This window comes from Homo sapiens, chromosome 8, assembly GCF_000001405.40.
Source record: "Homo sapiens chromosome 8, GRCh38.p14 Primary Assembly".
Lineage (NCBI taxonomy): Eukaryota > Metazoa > Chordata > Mammalia > Primates > Hominidae > Homo > Homo sapiens.
In genome coordinates this window covers 77,084,739-77,102,449 of record NC_000008.11, presented here as the reverse complement: position 1 = coordinate 77,102,449, position 17,711 = coordinate 77,084,739, and the positions used below count along the sequence as shown (strand labels likewise).

Sequence of the window (17,711 nt, the reverse complement as noted above, 5' to 3'; positions counted from 1 at the left end):
TAAATGTCAGGGCTAATTTGTTAGTGGAACATAGCTTTTCCTTTCTAACTGATAAACACAATGAAAACAGAGCAATTTTTTTTAAGGTTGGAAATAACAGGATAAACAGAGGTACCAGGCAAATGCAAGTAAAAGGAAAGCAAGAATGGATATATGGTGAGATGGATAATTGCATTAAAAGCACCAACAAGGATAGACAATATAATGATTTAATGATAAAAATCACAATTCATAAAAAATATAAACAGCCTTAAACACACACACACACACACACACACACACACTCATTAATAATATGTTATAAATCAACAATATGGTAGTTTAGGGATATAAAACAAAAACTACTGAAACTGCAATAAAGTTTTGACTAAATTAGAGTATGAAACTTAAGTATATCTCAGAATTTAACAGCTCTAATAGATAAAATATAAGGTCTTAAAATAACTCAATAGTAGTATATTTAATAGATATATTCCCTGTATAGAGAATATACGTTTTTATATGCTTAATTTAGCCACATCATAAAGCTTGACAGATTTTTAAAAGGTGGCTTTCTTTTAAAATAATTCAGTAAAATTAGAAGTTAACAAAAGATTAACTAAAATAATATTGAGAATTTGTTAAAATGAACTCTGGGGAGGAAAAGACTTTTATACCATAGCTCTTCTAAACTCTTGTCTCATCATCAATATCAAAAAAATAACTATCAATACTATCCAACATCCCATCTTCAAATTATTCTCTACATAAACGTCCAGGTTAGATGAAAGCTTGTATTTTTTTCAAAATGAGGAGATAAGTAGTTTATTTCCATATAAACTCTTATGATAGCCTAGCTAAAAGGAAGCAGAACTTATACATAGACAATGTGAGGGAATTCAGCTCAGAAAAATATCTCAAACCAAGTTACATTCTAGGCTTGAAAGATCCTGTCCATACATCATTGTACTGTCACCATGTAATAGGATGACCATACGTCCTGGTTTGCCAGGACAGTTGTGGTTTATGTCTGTTGTCCAGGTGTAATTATTAATAGTACTCTCTTTTACTTTCAAAAGTGTCTCAGTTTGGACAATAAATTTTATAGTCACCCTACCATGTAGTGATACAGCCCCTTTGCTTAACAAGGTAGGAATCTCAGGGCCTTTTCTGTACAAAGATTTGTGAGCACACTCAGACCATCCATGGACCCTTTTTCATTGTCCTGCTTTTCCTTATCTATGAAAGGAACATCAACAGAATTAAGTATTAATTAATAATGAGAATGAAATGACTGGAAGCAGTATTTATGACGCTGGCCAAATTTAAAAATATGTTTATTGAAATAGATGCCAAGGGAATCACTGCATAGGATTATACCAGAGAAAATGATAATAACGTATCAGGAAAAATATTATAGGACCTTATTAAATATATAAATCACATTTTTCTAAACAAACTAAAACTCACCAATTCAATCACTTAACCAGTACAAACTGGAATACAGTTCATGCTAGTGTGATGGAAAGGATCAATATAAATTTGATCACCTTGTATACATTAAAAAAATGGACAAGATAACTTAGGAAAGCTATTGGTGTAACTTGGAAAATATAGTACTTTATGATTTCATTTCACCTAGCACTGGTAGTTTTTGGTATACATGTTGACTTCTACAATATACTTCTATGAATAAACACCAATCAATAGATTTATATCATAATCATCCCTATGCTATCAAAGCTTATCTAATAATGTAAAACAAAGTCATTCTTTAGTATCTTCTCAACACTCAGTCAATGCACTACAAGTTTGGAATACAACCTATATTCTTCTGCCTACTATTCTTCATTACATAAGAAACTATGTACCACTTTATCTGTCCCCGGACAAACCTTGAGTATCTAATGCCCCTATTGCTTAAGACCCACTACTTTCTGCTTTTCATTTCAACTTCACAATGCCTACTACTGGCAAAGCCTTAACTTATCTATTCCTTCCAAACCCCCAATGCAAATATCTCTTTTTATAATAAAATTAAAGCAATTTTCTTTTCCTTTTTTTGCTCATTAGGTAGCCAGTATTATTGGCATTATAGTTAATAGCCACCTGGTAGTTAAATATTCTTCTTTATCAATATATTGATCAGATTGCTGTAGATACTTGGCAATTTGTATAGATAGATGAATTTTTCTTGAATCTGTGAAATCAACACTTAGAATCCCACTTTATTTGTCACAGAAATCTATAACATTTTTCCTCAGAGATTTAGTTAATTAGCTAGTTTAGGGATAATTACTAAACATTGACCTTGAACTTTATTATTGCTCCTTGTCGTCTACTGGTGGACACATTAACCATCAGAGTTATGATAGTAATAGAAATGACAAATACAGATTCTTCTCAGAGGAGTAGTAGAGTTGTCAAGAAATATAAGAAATTTGTATATTTCCTAAATGCTCAGGTCCTAGAATTCAAAAGTAGCATTTGGAATATGTCCGTGGAAATTTGATAAAATGAAATAAATTTAATTTTACAAAAATCAAGTAATATTCTTTTTAATGATTCAGAGGTTTTCTATAAGATTAAAGATAATTTCAAGAATCATTGAACTTCAGATTTTTTTAAAAGGTCAGTATGCTAGGAATTTTGTAAAGGACCAAAGTAAAGGTATCCAGTGCCAACATGAAAAGAACATATGCATAAACGAATAGATGCCGCTTAAGATAAACTTAGGTATACCTCAGAATTTCACAGCTCCGATAGGCAAAATATAAGTAAGGTCATAGAACAGCTAGTGAATAATACTTGATTTAATAGATATATCCCTTGTGTACAGAATATACATTTCCTTTATATGCCTAATTTAGAGACATCATAAAGCTTGACAGATTTTTAAAAGGTAGCTTTCTTTAAAAATAATTCAATAAAATTAGAAGTTAATAAGAGATTAACTAAAATAATATAATTTGTTAAAATGAATTTTGAGGTGGAAAAGACTATTTTACTATAGTTATTCAGAAGCTCCTGTCTCATCATCAATATCAAGAAAAATAACTATCAATACCACTAACTATCATCTGGTATTTGAGCTGGTTCTGTAACACCACATGAAAACTTTTTAATTGCAAGTGAGAGACTAATTCTAGTAATGTGTATGTGTGGAAAGAGTTTATATTTCTTTTCTTTTTTTTTTTTCTTTTTAAGAGAGGGTCTTGCTCTGTCATGAAGGCTGGAGTACAGTGGTATGATCACAGCTCACTCAGCTCACTGCAGGCCCAAACTTTCCACCTCAGCCTCCTGAGTAGCTGGGACCACAGGTGGTGCATCACCATGCCCAGCTAATTTTTATATACATATTTTTTGTAGAGATGCGGTCTCCCCATATTTATATTTCTTAATTAACAAAAGTAGAAGGGAAAATATTTTTTTAAAAAATTTATATATAGTTTTATTGAGGAAAATATTTTCAATTCTCTTTGTTTTCAAAATCAAAGTGAGTAAAATTTTATACATTTTAAAGCTAACACCCATGTTAACATATATGACAAAATTATTTGTCATAAAAATTACAATGGCAAAATTTTACCATTGGTAATGCTAAAAATTCTCTAGTAGGCACAATAGAAAACTGCAGCTATTCATGAATGGAAAAAAACAGACAAGTTTGGCTTTAGCCTATTATTCAGCCTAAATTGACTTGATAGTTTCCTCATACGACAAATGCATACTTCAGTATCACCTCTAGTAACTCAGAAATTGTGCATGACAAATGACAATGTGATTACAGTATGTTACCATCTTACAAAAGAGTAACTGAGCCATTATGAGCATAAAGTATGTTTTTCAGATTTGTATTAATATCTGAATATTAAAATTTCATACATAAAAAAAGTTCAATATGTACTTTGTGATGAAATTCTGCCTTTGTATGTTGAGATTCCATCAATTTTTTGAAACATAATTGTGTAAATATTTTTGCCAGAGTAAAATAATTAATGAGCACTTTGATTCCCGTTACTTTTAAGTGAAACTATTTTTTTCTTTATTTTCAGAAGTGAAATTAGTAGTTAAAGAGACAGTAAAAATATTGAAAAGAATGAGTTAGGTAACCCTGGGAGGCATATTATATAATTTTTGAGTCAATAGTTTTTCTAAAAATTTAAATAATGATATAAAGCAAAACAACCAATAGTTGATAAAATTATAATTCTAATATTTGTAAAATTATTTATGTGCTAGCATTCCTGACATTAAAGCATATAACCTTAAAAAATGGCCGATAATTTGAGATATTTAATTATATTTAGGCCATAAGTATTTCGAGATTCATATCTTGCTTCTCCAATGGTATCAGTAAAAAGGGAGCATCTATTTACTGTACAAATATGTAGTAAAGTACCTACAGGAGCCATCTAGAAGCCAGCAGTGCTGAAAAATTATTGTTTCTAAGTCACAAGGTAAAATTATACAAATTTGAATCTTCAAACGTAAATAATTAATAAATGTATATATTCTAAGTTTTGGTAAAATTGAAACCACCTTTGCAAAATTATAACTGAGGAAATTATGACAGTGAAAGAAATCAGGCCAAATTAACTCTGTCTTCCTTCTAACCCTTAAGCTGTCCTTGTTCATTCCTGGGGGTAGGTCGAACTAACTTTGGGAAGGAATTCAGTTCATGGTTTGACTCTGAAACAAAATTGGTAACAGCCCTTTACCAAAAAGACCCCCTTCTTGCCTGGGGTCCAGTCTGCCTTTGCAGGACTAACAAATCAGCTAAAAGATCAGAAATTACAATTAAGGGGTCATGCAGCCTCTGGCTCCAAGAGTCTAAACCTCCCCAGATTGCTCTTGGGGATAATATCACTATTGTAAAACCTAAAATCAGTGCTTGAGATACTTTGCAGACCCTGTACTCGATGGATCAGCTGACACCACCCAGACTGGTAATCTGGCCCAACCAGTTCTGCTGTCACACCCAGGAACAGAACATATTAAGAAAACCTAACTTCTATCTGCTATGATTCCATCCCCAACCTGACCAATCAGCACTCCCCACTTCCCAAGCTCCTACCCGCCAAATTATCTTTAAAAACTATGATCTCCAAATGCTCAGAAGACTGATTTGAGTAATAATAAAACTCCCGTCTCCCACACAGATGGCTCTGCATGAATTACTCTTTCTCCATTGCAATTCCCCTGTCTTGATAAATCGGTTCTGTCTAGGCAGCGGGCAAGGTGAACCCACTGGGCAGTTACAAAATCTCAGATGTATTTTTGTGTCACAGACTTTCTACACTGATGATATTTGGCTTCAATTTTGGCTTCAGCCAAATGTTTATTTCAATATCCAGCCATTGAACATTTGGCCCATGTTCAGCCCCCAAGTTAAGGGTAGAATTATTTCAATTCCCCAGGGAGCTCTCCTAAAAGTGAACCACAGGAAAACCTTAGAGAAGGGCTTCTCAAACTGGAATGTAAGTTAGGGTCATCTGGGGAACCCTTCAAATGCAAATCCTGATCCAGGGTCTGAGGTGGAAGCAGAGATTCTGCATTTCAAATCAGTTTCTGGCTGATGCCAGAGATGCTGGTCCAGGGCCCACATTTGAAGGAGCAAGCTCCTTCAAACACCTAACATTCCTATGTGTGAGTGGACACGTGGACATTCTGAGCCGGAATTTCTGGGAAATAATTCTGTTCACTTCCCAAAAGTTTGTCCTGGGTTCGGAGCCTAGTAAGGGAGAAATGAAGAGAATCAAATTACTTCTTTTATAGCTTAAAGGTGTTCTACTATGTAAATTAAAGAAAAAGCACGAACAAATTGAGCAATTCACAAACAGGTTATATTAAAGACAAGAGTTTGGGAAATGACTAAATCATCCTGAATTATATCGTTAAGTGTAAAAATTTAAAAGGACTACACACAATTTCTATTAATAGTACAAAGCAAAAAGAAACCATTAATAGGAAGTCAAGAAAAGTAAACCAAAGACTGTGATTTAAAGGTCCTGGAAATAAATTAAAAAAAGAGAAAAACAAGAATACATAGCATTAATGGAAACTTAAAGGGAAAAGATAAAGCAAGATAAAATGCTAGCCATCAGGATAAAGCAACAAGATGGAATTTTATAAATGATCTTAAGGAAAAGATAATTGAGGAAAAAATAAACCTAATAAACCAATAGGGGTATACAACTTACTGAAAATGGCTAAAATATTAAAGTATTTCATATTAGTCTTTAGGTAGAAAAAAATGAAGAAATTAAATGTGTAGAGTAAGAAAGAACTGAAAAACTAACCTATCTCCACCAAAAAAAAAAAAAGCAGCTATAGAGTCACAGAAATATTTTAAAATTTTGAGAACACGTAAATCATCCAGCTACCATGTATTACCAGGAGGTTGACATGTAATCTAAGGGAGAGGAAAATTTAATAATGTTTCTATGGGACTAAACTTTTATTGTTATAATCATTATTTAATATATCTGAGCATCAACAATACATTAGAGCTGTATTTAAGGTAGAGATAGCCACTTCTATATGAATTTATGATTCAAGCTGAAAGACAAAACACAGGAGAGAGCAACAAAATACAGTCAGGGGAAGATGCAGAAATCATTTTCCCAGAAAATATTAGAATATACTACATAAGGGTAAAATTGTTATATTTGTCCTTAGAAAAGAGTAAGAAAAATGAATGCTATGTTTGCAGAAAACTAGAATTGAGAATATGCTGATGAAATGTAAGAATTTCTGTCCCATTTAGTCTAGGCCTAAAGTATTTTCTTACAACTGGGTAACCCATGATAGCATAATATGGGAAAACCATCCATTATTAACACAGAGGAGTAAATGAAGCACTTTGGAAGAGAACTACCTTTCAGACCACCAAGGCTCTATTGACTTAATTGCGCCCTATTGTACTAAGTGGTCCTTTAATGGGAGGGAGGATGTAATGCAACTATGAGGCACTTGACACAACAGGGAATATTTTACTCATCTGAGAGGATACTTACAGATACTGCAATGATAACAATTGTCTAGTACCACTTCACACAAACACCTCTCCACATTTCTGTGTATAAATTCACTTTGAAATTTGTCACTGGAAGAAAGGGTGATTTTTACACACTTCAAAATTTTAAAGAAAGCAAAAGGAATTTTAAACAAAAATTAAACTTTAAAAGAGCTCTCCAAATGGCTTGAAAGCAACAGCTCCATCTTCTGTATGCACTATGGTGTCCAATGTGAAACATTGTGTGGGTGTATGAGTGTGTGCCTTTTGAAAATGGGGTGGAAGTAGCAATATATGTGTCCATGAGAATTTATATACATTGTGAGTAGCAGACATGCATGAAAAAAAATGCTTTGTCCCTGTCCCTAGGTCACCAAAAAACAGGATTCACTTTGAAATTCTAACCTCTTTTTGACCACAATAAATAACTCTTGGCTGAGATTCACTATGCCGGGGACCCACTGGAGTCCCTTTCTGCTTAGAGGACCTGGCCCTATTAAACATAAGGTGGGTTATCTCTGGCTGTAATGCCTGAAAAGGCCTTAGCAGCACAGTTTAAAGGCAGCAACACATACTTTGCTATAGCTATCTCACTTCTGGGAGTTTATCTTTAAAAATGACTGTGGATATATGTGGAGCAAAGGTATACACTTGAGAATGTGTTTCAAAATGTTGTTTCTTTTAGCAAAAATTTAGAAGCAAACATGCATGGTCAATAGTAGAGAACCAATAAAGTACACTGTATTCTGATAGTTAAATACTAAGTAGACATTATAAATGAAGTAGAAAACTATTTTTATAGCATTAAAAAATTCTGTTAAATTTAAATTACTAAAACAAATTGTCAGTTAATTCTTAACTAGTGTTCCATTTTCTTGTAATATCTACATATATAAATGTGCTAAATAAATTATAGAGGGAAAAGAATAAAACATGCAGGCAGGCTAAATGTTAGCCTCTTTAGGAATGGTAAGATCAGAGACGATCTTCATTTTTCTTTGTGCTCTATTTTTTTTTTTATTATACTTTAAATTTTAGGGTACATGTGCACATTGTGCAGGTTAGTTACATATGTATACATGTGCCATGCTGGTGCGCTGCACCCACTAACTCGTCATCTAGCATTAGGTATATCTCCCGATGGTATCCCTCCCCCTCCCCGCACACCACAACAGTCCCCAGAGTGTGATATTCCCCTTCCTGTGTCCATGTGATCTCATTGTTCAATTCCCACCTATGAGTGAGAATATGCGGTGTTTGGTTTTTTGTTCTTGCGATAGTTTACTGAGAATGATGATTTCCAATTTCGTCCATGTCCCTATAAAGGGCATGAACTCATCATTTTTTATGACTGCATAGTATTCCATGGTGTATATGTGCCACATTTTCTTAATCCAGTCTATCATTGTTGGACATTTGGGTTGGTTCCAAGTCTTTGCTATTGTGAATAATGCTGCAATAAACATACGTGTGCATGTGTCTTTATAGCAGCATGATTTATAGTCCTTTGGGTATATACCCACTAATGGGATGGCTGGGTCAAATGGTATTTCCGGTTCTAGATCCCTGAGGAATCGCCACACTGACTTCCACAATGGTTGAACTAGTTTACAGTCCCACCAACAGTGTAGAAGTGTCCCTATTTCTCCACATCCTCTCCAGCATCTGTTGTTTCCTGACTTTTTAATGATTGCCATTCTAACTGGTGTGAGATGGTATCTCATTGTGGTTTTGATTTGCATTCCTCTGATGGCCAGTGGTGATGAGCATTTTTTCATGTGTTTTTTGGCTGCATAAATGTCTTCTTTTGAGAAGTATCTGTTCATGTCCTTCGCCCACTTTTTGATGGGGTTGTTTGTTTTTTTCTTGTAAATTTGTTTGGGTTCATTGTAGATTCTGGATATTAGCCCTTTGTCAGATGAGTAGGTTGCAAAAATTTTCACCCATTTTGTAGGTTGCCTGTTCACTCTGATGGTAGTTTCTTTTGCTGTGCAGAAGCTCTTTAGTTTAATTAGATCCCATTTGTCAATTTTGGCTTTTGTTGCCATTGCTTTTGGTGTTTTAGACATGAAGTCCTTGCCGATGCCTATGTCCTGAATGGTAATACCTAGGTTTTCTTCTAGGGTTTTTATGGTTTTAGGTCTAACGTTTAAGTCTTTAATCCATCTTGAATTGATTTTTGTATAAGGTGTAAGGAAGGGATCCAGTGTCAGCTTTCTACATATGGCTAGCCAGTTTTCCCAGCACCATTTATTAAATAGGGAATCCTTTCCCCATTGCTTGTTTTTCTCAGGTTTGTCAAAGATCAGATAGTTGTAGATATGCGGCGTTATTTCTGAGGGCTCTGTTCTGTTCCATTGATCTATGTCTCTGTTTTGGTACCAGTACCATGCTGTTTTGGTTACTGTAGCCTTGTAGTATAGTTTGAAGTCAGGTAGTGTGATGCCTCCAGCTTTGTTCTTTTGGCTTAGGATTGACTTGGGGATGCAGGCTCTTTTTTGGTTCCATATGAACTTTAAAGTAGTTTTTTCCAATTCTGTGAAGAAAGTCATTGGTAACTTGATGTGGATGGCATTGAATCTGTAAATTACCTTGGGCAGTATGGCCATTTTCACGATATTGATTCTTCCTACCCATGAGCATGGAATGTTCTTCCATTTGTTTGTATCCTCTTTTATTTCTTTGAGCAGTGGTTTGTAGTTCTCCTTGAAGAGGTCCTTCACATCCCTTGTATGTTGGATTCCTAGGTATTTTATTCTCTTTGAAGCAATTGTGAATGGGAGTTCACTCATGATTTGGCTCTCCATTTGTCTGTTGTTGGTGCATAAGAATGCTTGTGATTTTTGTACATTGATTTTGTATCCTGAGACTTTGCTGAAGTTGCTTATCAGCTTAAGGAGATTTTGGGCTGAGACAATGGGGTTTTCTAGATATACAATCATGTCATCTGCAAACAGGGACAATTTGACTTCCTCTTTTCCTAATTGAATACCCTTTATTTCCTTCTCCTGCCTGATTGCCCTGGCCAGAACTTCCAACACTATGTTGAATAGGAGTGGTGAGAGAGGGCATCCCTGTCTTGTGCCAGTTTTCAAAGGGAATGCTTCCAGTTTTTGCCCATTCAGTATGATATTGGCTGTGGGTTTGTCATAGATAGCTCTTATTATTTTGAGATACGTCCCATCAATACCTAATTTATTGAGGGTTTTTTGCATGAAGGTTGTTGAATTTTGTCAAAGGCTTTTTCTGCATCTATTGAGATAATCATGTGGTTTTTGTCTTTGGCTCTGTTTATATGCTGATTACATTTATTGATTTGCGTATATTGAACCAGCCTTGCATCCCAGGGATGAAGCCCACTTGATCATGGTGGATAAGCTTTTTGATGTGCTGCTGGATTCGTTTTGCCAGTATTTTATTGAGGATTTTTGCATCAATGTTCATCAAGGATATTGGTCTAAAATTCTCTATTTTTGTTGTGTCTCTGCCTGGCTTTGGTATCAGAATGATGCTGGCCTCATAAAATGAGTTAGGGAGGATTCCCTCCTTTTCTATTGATTGGAATAGTTTCAGAAGGAATGGTACCAGTTCCTCCTTGTACCTCTGGTAGAATTCGGCTGTGAATCCGTCTGGTCCTGGACTCTTTTTGGTTGGTAAGCTATTGATTATTGCCACAATTTCAGATCCTGTTATTGGTCTATTCAGAGATTCAACTTCTTCCTGGTTTAGTCTTGGGAGAGTGTATGTGTCCAGGAATTTATCCATTTCGTCTAGATTTTCTAGTTTATTTGCGTAGAGGTGTTTGTAGTATTCCCTGATGGTAGTTTGTATTTCTGTGGGATCGGTGGTCATATCCCCTTTATCATTTTTTATTGCGTCTATTTGATTCTCCTCTATTTTTTTCTTTATTAGTCTTGCTAGCGGTCTATCAATTTTGTTGGTCTTTTCAAAAAACCAGCTCCTGGATTCATTAATTTTTTGAAGGGTTTTTTGTGTCTCTATTTCCTTCAGTTCTGCTCTGATTTTAGTTATTTCTTGCCTTCTGCTAGCTTTTGAATGTGTTTGCTCTTGCTTTTCTAGTTCTTTTAATTGTGATGTTAGGGTGTCAATTTTGGATCTTTCCTGCTTTCTCTTGTGGGCATTTAGTGCTATAAATTTCCCTCTACACACTGCTTTGAATGCGTCCCAGAGATTCTGGTATGTTGTGTCTTTGTTCTCCATAGTTTCAAAGAACATCTTTATTTCTGCCTTCATTTCGTTATGTACCCAGTAATCATTCAGGAGCAGGTTGTTCAGTTTCCATGTAGTTGAGCAGTTTTGAGTGAGATTCTTAATCCTGAGTTCTAGTTTGATTGCACTGTGGTCTGAGAGATAGTTTGTTATAATTTCTGTTCTTTTACATTTGCTGAGGAGAGCTTTACTTCCAAGTATGTGGTCAATTTTGGAATAGGTGTGGTGTGGTGCTGAAAAAAATGTATATTCTGTTGATTTGGGGTGGAGAGTTCTGTAGATGTCTATTAGGTCCGCTTGGTGCAGAGCTGAGTTCAATTCCTGGGTATCCTTGTTGACTTTCTGTCTCGTTGATCTGTCTAATATTGACAGTGGGGTGTTAAAGTCTCCCATTATTAATGTGTGGGAGTCTAAGTCTCTTTGTAGGTCACTCAGGACTTGCTTTATGAATGTTGGTGCTCCTGTATTGGGTGCATATATATTTAGGATAGTTAGCTCTTGTTGTTGAATTGATCCCTTTACCATTATGTAATGGCCTTCTTTGTCTCTTTTGATCTTTGTTGGTTTAAAGTCTGTTTTATCAGAGACTAGGATTGCAACCCCTGCCTTTTTTTGTTTTCCATTGGCTTGGTAGATCTTCCTCCATCCTTTTATTTTGAGCCTATGTGTGTCTCTGCATGTGAGATGGGTTTCCTGAATACAGCACAGTGATGGGTCTTGACTCTTTATCCAGTTTGCCAGTCTGTGTCTTTTAATTGGAGCATTTAGTCCATTTACATTTAAAGTTAATATTGTTATGTGTGAATTTGATCCTGTCATTATGATGCTAGCTGGTTATTTTGCTCATTAGTTGATGCAGTTTCTTCCTAGTCTCGATGGTCTTTACATTTTGGCATGATTTTGCAGTGGCTGGTACCGGTTGTTCCTTCCCATGTTTAGTGCTTCCCTCAGGAGCTCTTGTAAGGCAGGCCTGGTGGTGACAAAATCTCTCAGCATTTGCTTGTCTATAAAGGATTTTATTTCTCCTTCACTTATGAAGCTTAGTTTGGCTGGATATGAAATTCTGGGTTGAAAATTCTTTTCTTTAAGAATGTTGAATATTGGCCCTCACTCTCTTCTGGCTTGTAGGGTTTCTGCCGAGAGATCCACTGTTAGTCTGATGGGCTTCCCTTTGAGGCTAACCCGACCTTTCTCTCTGGCTGCCCTTAACATTTTTTCCTTCATTTCAACTTTGGTGAATCTGACAATTATGTGTATTGGAGTTGCTCTTCTCGAGGAGTATCTTTGTGGCGTTCTCTGTATTTGCTGAATCTGAACGTTGGCCTGCCTTGCTAGATTGGGGAAGTTCTAGTGGATAATATCCTGCAGAGTGTTTTCCAACTTGGTTCCATTCTCCCCATCACTTTCAGGTACACCAATCAGACGTAGATTTGGTCTTTTCACATAGTCCCATATTTCTTGGAGGCTTTGCTCATTTCTTTTTATTCTTTTTTCTCTAGACTTCCCTTCTCGCTTCATTTCATTCATTTCATCCATTTGCTTCCATCACTGATACCCTTTCTTCCAGTTGATCACATTGGCTCCTGAGGCTTCTGCATTCTTCACGTAGTTCTCGAGCCTTGGTTTTCAGCTCCATCAGCTCCTTTAAGCACTTCTCTTTATTGGTTATTCTAGTTATACATTCTTCTAAATTTTTTTCAAAGTTTTCAACTTCTTTGCCTTTGGTTTGAATGTCCTCCCGTAGCTCAGAGTAATTTGATCATCTGAAGCCTTCTTCTCTCAGCTCGTCAAAGTCATTCTCCATCCAGCTTTGTTCCGTTTCTGGTGAGGAACTGCGTTCCTTTGGAGGAGGGGAGGTGCTCTGCTTTTTAGAGTTTCCAGTTTTTCTGTTCTGTTTTTTCCCCATCTTTGTGGTTTTATCTACTTTTGGTCTTTGATGATGGTGATGTACAGATGGGTTTTTGGTGTGGATGTCCTTTCTGTTTGTTAGTTTTCCTTCTAACAGAGAGGACCCTCAGCTGTAGGTCTGTTGGAGTACCCTACCGTGTGAGGTGTCAGTGTGCCCCTGCTGGGGGTGCCTCCCAGTTAGGCTGCTCGGGGGTCAGGGGTCAGGGACCCACTTGAGGAGGCAGTCTGCCCGTTCTCAGATCTCCAGCTGCATGCTGGGAGAACCACTGCTCTCTTCAAAGCTGTCAGACAGGGACATTTAAGTCTGCAGAGGTTACTGCTGTCTTTTTGTTTGTCTGTGCCCTGCCCCCAGAGGTGGAGCCTACAGAGGCAGGCAGGCCTCCTTGAGCTGTGGTGGGCTCCACCCAATTCGAGCTTCCTGGCTGCTTTGTTTACCTAATCAAGCCTGGGCAATGGCGGGCGCCCCTCCCCCAGCCTCGCTGCCGCCTTGCAGTTTGATCTCAGACTGCTGTGCTAGCAATCAGCGAGACTCCGTGGGCGTAGGACCCTCCGAGCCAGGTGCAGGATATAATCTCGTGGTGCACCGTTTTTTAAGCCCGTCGGAAAAGCGCAGTATTCGGGTGGGAGTGACCCGATTTTCCAGGTGCCGTCCGTCACCCCTTTCTTTGACTCAGAAAGGGAACTCCCTGACCCCTTGCGCTTCCCAAGTAAGGCAATGCCTCGCCCTGCTTCGGCTCGCGCACGGTGCGCGCACCCACTGACCTGCACCCACTGTCTGGCACTCCCTAGTGAGATGAACCCGGTACCTCAGATGGAAATGCAGAAGTCACCAGTCTTCTGCATCGCTCACGCTGGGAGCTGTAGACCGGAGCTGTTCCTATTCGGCCATCTTGGCTCCTCCCCTGTGCTCTATTTTTTATATTTTATAAAAGTGATATATTATCTTTCAAAATGTTATGTATATTCACATTTGGCAAAATTATTCTAGATAGGGAGCTGTTTTTTAGAAAATACTTTAGTGAGCCAATTGAGGCTGAGAGTAACTGCTGGAAGCGTGAGGAGCAATGTCAGTTTGCAGAAATGCAAATGTAGGCTACCTGGAGAGGGAGAGGACTTTAGTTTGTTCTTGAGAGGAAGAGAGAGAACCAAGGAGAAGAAAAAGAGCAAACAAGAGCATGAAGAATGAGGTTTGAAAGTGGGGACCTTGCAGGAAATCAGCCAGTAGAAATGTCTATGAAGTGTAATGGCTAAAGGACCTTTAAAGAATAAAATGACTAGTATTCAAATCAATGTTTTTTTATTTGTTGTATGTGATCCTTAAACCTCTTCCAAAATTCTTCAGTAAAATTTAACATGCTCATGAATGTTATGTGTGAGAGTGGGTTTGTTAGGGCAACTTCAGAAAGAGTTGAGATTTTTCTCTCAGTGCAAAACAGAGGTGGCACACACAGAGGGAGGAGTTTAGGAGTAGAGGAAGCTGAGAACCTAAGCCTGGTGAAATTCACAAAGATCTTGGAAGGGGCTCTACATTTCCACAGGACTTGGAAGTCAAGTGGGATGAGGGAGTGAATTAACCTTACTGGTTGCTATGGGGGTAGAAGGAAACTTCCCCTCTGCCCTCTGAAGGTCCCACTGAAATAAGCTGACAATAGATTAATAGGAGAACAGGCATACAAATGTTTCACAAGCGCATGGACATGGGAGTCTCAAAAATATGAGACTCAAAAGAAGGGCTACATGGGTGAGGCTTCAATATAGTTGATATGGTTTGGATCTGTGTCCCCATCCAAATCTTATGTTCAATTGTAATCCCCAATGTTGGAAGTAGGGCCTGATGGGAAGTGATTGGATCATAGGGGAGGTTTCTCTTGGTTTAACACCATCCCCCAGTGCTGTTCTCTTGATAGAGTTCTCACAAGATCTGGTTGTGTGTAGCAACTCCTCGCTCTCTCTCTTTCCTCGCGTTCCAGCAATGAGACATGCTTGCTTCCCCTTCACCTTCCACTATGCTTGTAAGTTCCTGGAGGCCTCCCCACAAGCTAAGCACATGCTTCCTATACAGCCTGCAGAACTGTAGAACCAATTGAACCTTTTGTCTTTATAAATTACCCAGTCTCAGGTATTTCTTTATAGAAATTCAAAAACTAATACAACCTTCTTTATAAGAAAGAAAAAAGTGAATTAGCTGTAGGCAATTACAGAGGTAGTAAATAAATTTTTGGGTATTGAAAGGTCCTGAGAGGCAGACTTTATCTAGCAAATGATTCTCTTAAAAAACTGAATGGTATTGGCAAGTTACACGAAGGTGGAACTGCATTGTATACTGCCATCTAAGGACATGGGAAGCAGCCATCTGGACGTTAGGAAGAGAGCCCTCATCAAAGAGTCAAATCAGATGGCACCTTGATCTCAAACATCCTAGTCTCCAGAACTGTTGGAAAATAAATTTTTGTTGTGTAAGCACATGATCTATGGTATTTTGGTATAGCAACTGAAGCAGACTAACACATTGGTATTAAAAAGCTCAAGTACAACTGCAGCTGACATCTGGGTTACAATTTTAAATCTAATAAAAACTTTAGAAAGTCAGACCCAATGGTTAGCCTGATTTGTGTCACTTGCCTTTTGGAGAAAATTTCCAACCATTGTTACTGACCTCAGCCTAACATTTTATCGTTCATTTTAAAAAGCTTCTTTAGTTTCTGCATATCCTATGAAGTTGTTATTTCAAGTTGGTGTCCCACCTTGGTCTGAGTGCCTTTCTGCTGGTTTATTGCCAGCTTAATATTCAAATGGGATGTAACTTTGGCTCAGATTTTTTTTTTGTTTCCTCCTTAGTTCACTTTAAAAACTATGCAAAGACCCACACTCTAGTTTTTAGGCTTTATGACTATTTTGCTTTTAAAGGTTAGTCCTCGAGACCTGTAGACACACAGAGAGAACGCTTGGCTCCCTGCTCTGACTTTTTTGCCAACATCTTCTCATCTACAAAACTAGATTCTGCCTACTGGCTCCTGTGAACATCAAAGTGTGAGTTTTTATTTCTTTCATCAGGAAATCCTGTCCTTGTAGCACCTGGACCAGTAGATGGTATGATGATCTTCACACTTAAAATCTACAGGATTTAGGAAAAAAAGTATTTATATTCCTGTAAGTTCAAACTAAAGCAGTTTCCCAGGATTAAAGGCAAAGACTGAGGAGAGTCCCACTGAAAGAGTGCTAGTGGGTGGCGGTTTCAAATAGTGCTGAGAAAACAAGAAATCAACTCCAGCATCAAAGTAGGAGCTACATGAGGGCAGTGATCATAATGTTTTGTTACTACTGAATTTCCTAGGCCTGTGACAGCACTTGGCATCAAATAAGAACCCATTAAATATTTATAGAATGAATTAATAATACAGTGATGGCTGCATCTGCACCCTTTTTTATGGGGACAACTTTCCTAGAAACAGAGAATATTACTTCTTTATTAGTAGTGGATGTTTTAATCCCATTTCATATAACTTGCTTCAAACGAGTTATATTTAATTTAAAAAATGCTTACATAGTCTCTAAGTGAACTATATACCATCATTAAGGAGAGAATTAGTCAGAGGTACAACTGTAAAGTAGAAGGCATTATTCCTTGGCTTCGTGTTTTCTAAGACTTTTCCCTTGTAGGACCCACTTCAGATTTCCTAAGCCCAGAGACTTCCCTCTCAGGCCTCATCTGCTCACATGGTCTTTATTCTAACAAGCATTGTCTATGATTCTTTCCTTTTTAATTACCTCTTATCTGGGCAAGGGTCTCAGAATCTTCTAAAGTGACACATTTTCTCACTTGTAAAATTTATATAACCAACCATGCTCACTTGAGAAGGAATTGTTGCCCCCAATGTCTCACTCCTTCCTTCCACTTTAATATATGTGCTTTCTAAAGACAACAGGCCTTCTTTCTCCTCTCCCTGTCATAAGTTGCCACTAAGCACCTGTATTAGTCAGGGTTCTCTAGAGGGTCAGAACTAATAGGATAGATGTATTTATAAAGGGGGGTTTATTAAGGAGTATTGACTCATACGATAATAAGGTGAAGTCCCACAATAGGCCATCTGCAAACTGAGCAAGGAAGTCAGTCCGAGTCCCAAAACCTCACAAGTAGGGAAGATGACAGTGTAGTCTTAAGTCTGTGGCTGAAGGCTGGAGAGCCCCTGGCAAACCGCTGGTGTAAGTCCAAGAGTCCAAAAGCTGAAGATCTTGAAGTCCAATGTTGAAGGGCAGGAAACATCCAGCACGGGAGAAAGATGAAGGCTGGAAGACTCAGCAAGTCTGGTCCTTCCAACTTCTTCTGCTTGCTTTATTCTAGCCATGTTGGCAAGATGGTGCCCACCAGATTGAGGGTGGGTCTTCCTCTCCCAGTCCACTGACTCAAATGTTAATCTCCCTTAGCAACACTGTCATAGGCACACCAGAAACAAAACTTTGCATCCTTCAATCGAATCCAATTAACACTCAATATTAACTATCACAGTACCTCAAATGATGGAAATTTCAAAGCTGAAAGGAGGAAGAGGAGACAGTAACATCAAGATTGTCTTTA

General features: G+C 37.5%; 1 annotated feature.

The window, feature by feature from the left end:
- Positions 13,165 to 13,741: an enhancer, noted in NCBI's record as "OCT4-NANOG-H3K27ac-H3K4me1 hESC enhancer chr8:78000945-78001521 (GRCh37/hg19 assembly coordinates)". NCBI's record gives its function as "activates a minimal SCP1, AML or CMV promoter by ChIP-STARR-seq in primed H9 embryonic stem cells {active_cell/tissue: H9 hESC(primed)}" and the evidence as "EXISTENCE:reporter gene assay evidence [ECO:0000049][PMID:30033119]".